A 9,895-nucleotide genomic window follows, 5' to 3' on the forward strand; every position below is an offset into this window, starting at 1 on the left:
ACTTTGAGTCAACATTACTCCATCCTCATAGTCTGGCCAAGAAAATGGAAGTCATTGGCCATCTGGAGCACCAAGAGTTAAATGTGCCACTGACGAACCAGAAAAGGAGAGGAGGCAGTGAAGGACTGCAGAGTGGATATTAAATGGCATTTTAATTTTTATTAGCATACTTGCCGGCCTTGAAATACTCCTGCCTAGGTTTCTCCTTCCAGGCAGGGAGCCACGTCCCACGTGGGAATGGGGAATCTGTATCTGTGGCAGGAAGATCTGAACATGGTGTGGGGGATACAGGGGCACAGCGTTCTCTCCAGCCATTGTCCTTCCTGACTTTAGGTCTGGGCTGTACAAGGGAGGTCAACTGGCCATGCTGGTGTGAACTTCAGGCTCCCAAGACTTACTTTCCACTGTCCAAGCTGATGGTGACAAGATAGGGAGACCTGGGGCCAGGATCAAAATGGCTCCCTGTGCTGGGACCTTTCTTCCCAAACCTGGACCAATGCTTCTCTCAATGACAAGAGGCTGCTTATTGGGTGGGGTGGGGTCCCACCCAATAGCCTCTGTGATATACTTACTTCCTTGAGCTGGAGGTTTTAGCTAAAATAGGTTTTCAAATTCTGATGCTTGTCTATACCAAAAGTGATGCTCCCAAGTTCAGTATAAGGAAAATAAATGATTCCTATCACCTTCCAACAATCTGAATTATTTACCCAAGTCTACTTTTGCTGTGTGGAAAACAGGGCCAAACAAAAGACTTCTGCCAGAAGAGTTCTCCATTTGCAAGGAGGCTTCCCTAGCCCCTTCATGGGAACAGAAAAGCCACCTCACCACCATCTCCCTTTCCCTGGATCTCCTCTTAGACTATTTTCCACCACACACCTACAATAACAGACGGGAGTGTCTGGGAGTCTTTTCCTGTGGTTCTAGGACAGTGGTCTCTGCCCATTTTGCTGGCTTCCATGCCTCTGCCTTTCCATTGATCTAAGGTTCTTAGTGCTCCAAGAACCAGTCCAGCAACTGTACTAGGTGAAGTCGAAATGGCAATGTGCATTCTGAGCTGCTAGGAGTGGGAAGTGAAGATTTTGCTCTTAGCCTTTACACCTTGGGAATTTTCATTCAGTACTTTCCTCCCCTCTCAGCTTTATCTATGGGCAAAGACGATGTTTTGCACATATGAGGTGCTCAGTTCAATTAATTAAGAATAAGGACTTCTTCCCCCATCCAAAGGGTGCATTAATTACATAGCGTGTCATCAATCACACGCATAAGGGCTCTCCCTGACCTGTCACACAGGGTGTCAATAAGCAATACCTGTGTAGTTTGAGGGTGATCAAGGGCAAGGTACTTTCTAGCCCTCCCCCAAAACTTTGGCTAAGTCACTTCCACAGAGATCTTCCCCAGAGAGATGGGGGCTAGAAATCAAGTCATTTCTATTCTTTTAGGTCGAGACTTTGGTTAACAGGAGGTGGTCATGAACCTGCATCTAGGAAGGTCCAGCTCACAGGCTTTCTCCTTAGCCTATAGTTCACTACAGATGATTTTTAACACCAGCAAACTCCAGAGTAAAGGAAAACATGGTATGAGCTTTGGAAGCTGTATTCTACTCACTCGGCTCTTCTCAGGATGTAAGAACTAACCGTGAGGATTAGATACATGGAGGCAAAGGGAAGAAGGAAGGAATCCCAGCTGGAAAAGGTGAGTTTCATATGGTGACTAAAACTTCACACAGTGAGCAAACTTCCTGTCCTAGTGAAAGTGGAAGAGGAACAGGGGCACCCGCCATTAGCTTGGAGATGCCACGTTCTCAACCTTTCCTTGTATAGATGGATGCTTGCTCAAGCACAGTTTCGGCATGGTGGTGGGGGGAAATATTTGGAATCTCAAAAGTAATGATGTTTATGACTCTGCTTCCTGAAAACCCGCAAATACATACACAGACATGTTTGTCAGACAGCCAATGCTCAGGGTGGACAGGAGCAGTGAGACTATTTTGCTAGCCCTTTAGGGAAAATTACAAATTGTATGTACTCAAGGCTTTGAATTACCTGAGAAGTTCAACTAGTTTTGCTTTAGAGAGCATCAGTTAGCAGCATCTTCAGCCTTACGGAGTGAACATGGAAAAGCTTCTCGGGAGAAAAGTATCCAAGAAAAGCTAAGCAAATCCCAAAAATAATGCCCATGAAAATCACCGTCGTTATGAGAAGAGAGATTGGATTCCAGTCTCCCAGCCTCTGCTGACTGCCTCCCTGCGGCAGGTGGAGGGGTTGAGAGAGCCCGTGACCAGGCGCAAGAGAAGCCCAAAATGACCCTGCGGGGTGAAGTCAGTGAGGCCAGAGCCAGGACCTCATGGCCCGTTCTCAGGCACACACAGAGCCGGAAAGTGCTGGAAAGCTCAGCCCAGCTGCAGGGAGAAAAATGGATTTCCTTTAAACAACAAACCACCGTGGCAGCCCCAGACATCAGGAAATGACAGTGACACCCAAGGGGGCTCCTTTCTTTCTTCCCCTTCTCTCTCTCTTTCCTCGCTTCCTTCTTGCCTTCTTTCCCTACTCCCCAAGCCCCCAACTTTTTTTCTACAACAGATGTGTATTTTTTTTTAAAGTAAAAGAAAACCACCACGCCAAAGGCAGGGTGGCATCATCAACCCTTCCAGCATGGCACTGTCCTCTTCCCATGTCTTTTTCCTAATTCTTTCTTCCTACCCCAAAAAGCCAATTTTCTGTTACACCAGAAAAACAAGACAAAAATTTTTCTTAAAAACATGTCTTGTCACAAATGAGTCCATGTAAGGAAAAAGATAATGAAAACTGTGTACAACGGGGATCAGGGCTGGAGATAAGGGGTTGTGGAAGCTGGAATATACTTGGCCATCGTAGGGAAAGCAGAGTCAATTTGCTGCCCTCACTACTGGGGCTACCATGCCTGGGGAAGGGAGAAGAGATGGAGGGGAGGAGATGGGACGGATGGTGCTGGCATGACCGTCTGGAGCCACTGGCCGCACGCCACACCCTGAGTGTCAGGAAACACAGGCTGTGCATGTGTGACAGTTTAGAGGAGGGGATCCAAAGCTACCTCTGGGGATCTGGGCTTGAAAGGGTTTCTTCAGGCTTGGACAGACCCTGTGATTGCCTCACACCTGATACCAGGTCTTCCAGGTGGACTCTTACGAAGCCCCTGCCTGGATCGGAAACATCCAGAGACCATGGATCCCAACACTGCAGGTGGCCTCCCTTGCTCTTCCAGCCAGAAGAAGAGGCTTAGAACCACACTCTGCTCCAGAAAGAAACTTAGGGTTCAGCGTGCCCCGCTGCATGAGCACCTGCTTCCTCCAGCTCACCTGAAACGCTCTTTTCCCACATAACCAAGTATCGTGTCGCTCCAGGTCATGCCAATTCTGTCCGAGGGCAGAAGGGGCTCTGGGTGGCTTTGCACGCTGTGGGCACCTGGGTTTCTGCTGAAGTCTGTCTGGAGGACTCCAGAGTTGTCAACGCTGCCGCTCCTGTGGGGAGGTACCCAGAGCTGCCGAAAAATGCGTTCTGCCTCCCGCAAAGCAGGACTCCCTGCAGTGTCCCCTGTCTACTAGAGATGCCAGAAGGACTTCATATTTAGGCAGAGGAGACTCTTTCCCCAAGTCCTCATGGCTTCAAGGGGCCAGCCTCCAACTCGCCTGCAGAGATTGGTGGTGCAGGGGAGCTGGACAGAGCAGGTTTGGTTGTCACTGGCCAGAGATCCTGGCAGCCAAAGATCATCTACCACTGGCCGGTCTCAGAGCGGTAACGTCCAGGCTTACTTGTCCACAGCACATTCCCCTCTCTTTCCCTACGGGGGGACTGCTGCGCTAATGGATCAGATGTACTCAGTGTGATTCAAATTCCAGAACTTCTGGGGAGTTGTTTAGAAAGCTGCTTCCTGGGGATCCCAGGTTGTTCTGTGAATCTGCTGAGAATACTGGTAGCAACTAGAGAATCTCTCAAGACCCCGTAGAACCCTGCTATTGGCTTTCTGTCACTTACGGAGGAAATGAAGGCATAAACCAGCTCAGGGGTTTCTTTATGACCCTGTGCCTGGGAGAAAGGAAAAAGCCATCTAGACTAGGTCGATTTCAAGCCCGGCAAGAGCCCTAAACATCAGAATACTCTGTTGCATCAAACTGTTTCAGCCCTTTAAGAAAAAGATACATATGCATATATACAAATAATATGCCCAAGACCGGCACATTTATGTATCTCGATGGATCAATAAACTTTGGATGTAGTTATATGGTCATGCACTCCTCTGTTCTGCATAACTCACAGCAATTTCATAATCTCAGATCATCTCAGAGTTCGTGTGGCTTTCAGCTCTCTCTCTCTCTCTCTGGCATTTAAAAAATCAATGTAATTTCAAACACAAACGAAGCCATCAATAATGAGCAGGTGCCATGAGGTTAGCGGTTAGCAGGGGGGAGATGTGAGCAACCACATCACAGGGATTGTTGTTATTTTGAAGAGCGGATGCCCTAGACAGCCCAGCCGCTGGGAAAACAGCATTCTGAGTTACTGGCCCACATTGGCTTCACAGGTTATCAGTGAGTGTCCCAACTGCCTAAGTAACATCACCTGTTCTCTCCAGCCCTCCACTTCTGTAAAGGCTCAACTAGGACCCAGGGCCACGCCTTTTAAAGGCACATGGATATAAAAAAAGGAAGAAGCAGAGCCTGTCCTGGGTTTTAGGCAGGCTAGGCCCAGGGCAATTCTGGAGGCCCTCTCAGTGGGAGTGAAATGACAGCTCCTGCAGGGGTGGGGGCATATTTGGTGGAAGCATGCAGCAACAGTGGTGTCAAGGCAAGTGAAAAGGCTGCAGTGGTTGCATTTGGACAGACAGCTCTGACCTGAAGCAATGTGCATGGAAGCATAGGCCTCGAAGAAGGCAGGCCTTTTGGAATCAACGTTGGGGGCCACTCGTGAACACAGGCTGGAGAGGGGCAGAGACGTGGCTGAGACGCTGAGGATGATCTGGGCAAGTTGGCAGCACCAAACTGAGGCCCCCCTTTCCTTGAGCCCAGGGTTCGTTGAAAAGAAAGGAGCGTAGCACCTCAGCACTACCTCAGCTGCCTAAGGAAACTCACCACGGGCCTCCGCAGTCCCATGTCCAAGGTACAGGCCACCATGGACCTCTGAGTCTCACGTCTCTTCTAGCAACCAAACAGCAAATCAAATCACCTTCCCTTTCTCTCAGTCCTTTCTTCCCTCTGAAAGGAAAAGAAAATAACTCTCTTCTTTCCTTAAAGGCTGGCATCATACAATGATTTTCAAAATAACAAGTGGCTTCTCTCTGGTTCTAATACACAGAGGAAGCCCCCACTGGCTTCTGAGGATGTTCTTCTGTGGCAGAAAGATTTCTGAGGATTCAGGGGGACTGCCCTAGGAATACTGAAAGGGCATTCCTAAAGCTAAAAGGCTCTGGGAGCATTTCCAGAAAGCTTCGATTTGGGGCTGGAATTCCAACCTGCTTAGTGCAGTAGGTAGTTTGGCTCTTTGTAGAAATTTGTGAACCTCCAGCACGGCACTGTACACATCATCTGAATCCTTTGACGTGTGCTACAGTTTAGAATCCAGACTTGGTTCACTCAGTATGTTTGGGAAGGGAAGAACTTTTTGCACATGGAAAAATGAATGAGACATTTTAAAAGGCTTTGCTTTATGTGAGGCAGCTAAGAAATTGAAAACTCCTCCCACCAAAAAAATAAAAAAAAAAATGGCAGTCGCATGTTTTGATTTGTTTTCGAGTAAAGACCCTTGTCTTTGGAAGCCAAGACTTTCCAGCAAACAACAGTATACCAGACTCTCCAAGGAAACCAATCAACCCCAAATCCCCAGCTATTCCAGGACAGCATAAGTGAATTGTTCTCTGGGTCTGAAGACAGAGGAAAAAGGCTATGGCAAAACTGAAGCTGAGCCTAGAAGGAATAACTGAAATAATAGAACCATATGTGCTGGTCACAAGGAACTTTCACTGCTATTTGCCTTCATTTTCCCACAAAGGAAGCAGAACAACCAGTATTTGTTTGCTTCCCACAGGAGCATTCTCTGATGGAAGCCAAAGAATTTAAAGCCCTTCCTTCTTGTCTAAATATTTGAGAAGGAAAGGAGAGTAGCTTTTCTGGGGCAGAAAGAGAACTCCTTTCTTGACCCACATTGAGACAACTCTGTTATTCTGTCCTCTTGGAATCTTTTAAAATATATCCATTAATCAAAAGAGAGTGGAGGAACTGGATCATATTCCCTTCCTCCACTGCACCTTGCACACAGTAGATGCTCAATTGGTGTTTAGATTTTTAAACAGGAAGCAAGCCTGATCACCATAATACTTTTATCTTCAAAGCGCTTTACCAGCCATGATTACTTAATCCTCACAACACCCCTGTGAGGTAGGTCAACCATATTCTTCCCATTTTACAGAAAGAGAAATTGGCCCTAAGAGTGACTTGACTTAGGTCTGTAGAAGGATAGTCCTGGATTTTTTACTTCCAATAACATGATCTGTTCTTGAGAATGTGCCTCTCCTTTCTTTAGATATTTTCTCTGAGCCTTTTGTTTAAAAAAAATGCTTAAGCACGTCACTCCGTAAAATCAATTTCCTCTGTTTGAAAAGAATACGTTTTTCTATTTCTGCCCCAGAGAGTATAGGAAGGAATGCCTAGATGGCCGCTAATGTTCTCCTCCCGCATACTTCTGGAAGCCTTCCTCTTCGTCACCATTCTTCCTACCCATCTACTGAGTCCTGTTGTTCCCCGTGGCTCCATGTGTCCATCTTCAAAGTTCTTGTTCTCAAATTTGGGACAGTTCATTCACCATCCATCCCAGTCAAAAGCGGGTGCTGATGAGAACGGAGAATCAGGTATGAGGTCTCATGTATTCTCTCCTTTTGTTACTATCAGAAATACCTTGTGGAAATAAACCATCCCAGCAGGACTTGACCTATCCACAGAACAGTCAGATGCACGGTCAAGCACAAGTCATTCGTGAATTCCAGACTATGATCTCGTCCCTTGTGCTGTCAAAACAATAATATTAACCTCAGAGAGCAGGGTCAGAGCAGGAGGGAAAGGAGTTCTGGTCAGGGCTCCGCTAGGAATGAGCAGGAGGCGTTGGCAGCAGCCACCGAGACCTGCTCATGCGAGCTCCATCTCATTTAGGGACAGTTCCAGGAGGGGCATTTTTTTCTTGGTGAGAATTTCTATATCAAAATACACCTGAACTCCAAGGAAAAGGCCAGAGCCAGGTTGACTGATGCAGAACAGTTGAAGCTTCTGGAATTTTTCTTTCCAAGAAGGTTCTCGGAGCTGATAGAAAATCAGCCTCACGGCTGGCCCCCCTGGAACCCCAGTGCCTCCTGGGCTCCCACCTGCCCTCACTCCAGGTTAGGTCCTAAGAAAAGCAGAGGCTCTCAGGACAGGTCTGTGTTCTTGCTCAGAGTGTATCTTGGTATTTGAATTGATAACAGTCAAACCATAGTCAAAAGAAAAAAAAAAGGAAAGAAAAAGAAATTCAATGTGACATTTCCAATTCGAATTATAAGAAAAAAAATACCTTGTTTTAGAAAAAAAAATTAGTGCTATTCTCCAGCCCTGTTTGTCTCTGAATCCTTGCCTGCAGGTTCCGCTCAAAGCACACAAGGGAGGGAAGAAAACCCACCATTGGGACCCACATTTTGGCAGATGGAACAATTGTTTAAAAAGAAAAAGATTCGGTGTTTTTCTTTTTCTGTACTCTGCAGAGAGGGAAAGAGGTGAGTCCATTTGATGAGGTGAGCATCAAGATTGAAAAAGATTGTAAGGAAGAACAAAGGTGAGAGAGATTTCCTGAAGAGCTTGCAACCACCTTAAAAACAGTCTCTAAATACTCTCCATTCACTCCTCTTGTCTGCCCAAAGCGCAATGAATATCAGTGTTCAAATGCATCCTTCCATATATTCTCTGATACCTTAGGAAGAATTAACATCAGGAGATTTGGTGTTAGAATTACAAGTGGCCAGCTCAAGATAGGTGACCAAGGGTCACCTGACCAGGGTACCACTGACCTGGGTTCACAGTGCTATGAAGTCTCTAAGAACTACAGGTATGTGAGACTCCTCCCTGTCCCGCTGTGCTCCCTGTTCATCCTGTGGCTTCCAGGTGCCACTGCCCCTGGAAAACACTCTCTCCTCCTGTGGTTCCATTTCCCAAGAAATGAGGTCACCACTTTTTCTCATATGACAGCTTTGCTATAGGCAACAATGACGAATCCTCCAAGCATCCCTGAGCAGGAGAGAAGAAAGAGGTTGGCCTTCTTTCTCTCCACTTTACAGATGGAGAAACCAAGGCACCGAGAGGTGAAGTGAGTTATCCACGATCACAGTGGGGACCGTGAATCAGCCTGTGACATTTCCTGATCTTTCTGGGTCTAAAGGAAAGCCCCTAGGAAGTCTGTAGCTAAAACAAATCTCCCGGGCCCACTCTAGCCCAAGGATCCCAGAGCTATGTTGAAGATGGACAAACAGACCAGGGGAGCTCATCTAACAGATGATGGGTTGTCTGTATCCGCCGTGACAGATGGCCAAATGTGCTTATAGAGGGATGTGCACTGGGTTACCAATTGGCACTATACTAAAGGGAAATTATTTCTTTGTCCTCATTGGTTTGAGAATGATTTTTAGCAGTAGTTGGGGTCCTAGGATTTGTGTTAGGGATTCACAAGGGCAGCATCTCCTCCTGGGACCTGCGCACTGTGCTGCATGTGATGGGCCAGCCTGGGGCAGGTGTCCCTAGGTCCTGCCTGCTCATTTCCGATGTGGTCTATTCTTAGCCCTTGACACAAGGTGTTGGCCAAGAGCAGGGGGAACTCCCACAGTGGTCCGTCTGCTGCCCTCGGGAGTTGTCATTAATAGCACTCACGACCTTTGTCTCCAGGATATATCAGCCATGGCCTGCCAGCCAGTGCAAGGAAAGCCACAGGAGTAAGGAGCAGATGGTGCCAGGGAGAGCTGAACAAGGCAGACAGGACCAGGCGAGCCAAGGAAGGAGTCTGCAGCAGGATCAAGGCAGCACCTTTGTCTTCTGATATTTGGCCATCAGCACAAGATGCAGTGTTTCAGCAAGAAGTGAAATGTTTAGAATAGCTAAGAATGGGTGAGAAAGGGGCTTGTGTTGCCACTGCAAGAATTCAGATCAAGCATCATCCTTTTTTTCCCCAGTGAAGAGGGATAGAAAAAAATCTCTGGGAGGGTAGAGTTGCCTTTTTGCCTTTTTACATGTTTTGAAATTGGAACAGACGCACATTGATTGAGGATGCCGGGGGAAGTCCTCTTGCAAGCTCATGGGTTTGTAACCTGTGATTGGCTGGCCCCTGCCATTTCCATGTTCTGGAGGTTGAACTGTGGGTGAGAATGGAATGTTGCTTCTACGACAATGGGCAGTTTGGGCTGAGGAGAAAGGGACAGAAGTTTAAAGAGTTTCCCATTGTGCTCATCTCGTTCTCAGCCGGATCTTGATAAGAGGAACCAACATCGATTTATGTTCACTTCCTAAGGGGTAACTGTGTTGTGCTTGATGAGCGGGTCTGCCCAACAGGGTCTAGTGACGAATAAATATTTGAGAGAGAAATGAATAGAACTGCTCCCTGTAAGGCTGGTCCAGCCCCTGGGGTGAGCCCACCCCTCTGGGTCCTTCCATTTCACTCCTGCAGGGTCTTCCCCAGGTCTCCTTTAAGCTCCTCCAGATTTCCCCGATGGTTTCCTAGTCAACAAAGATAGTATCACATGGATTTTGGTGAAATTAATTGCAATAAGCTCTCTTCTTTTTACAGTATCCAAATTTAAATCTCAACCTCCCCAACCAAATCTGATTGTGTTAATATTTTTCAGTTTGGCAAAGAAAAAA

Source organism: Homo sapiens, chromosome 8 (genome assembly GCF_000001405.40).
Source record: "Homo sapiens chromosome 8, GRCh38.p14 Primary Assembly".
NCBI classification, from domain to species: Eukaryota; Metazoa; Chordata; class Mammalia; order Primates; family Hominidae; genus Homo; species Homo sapiens.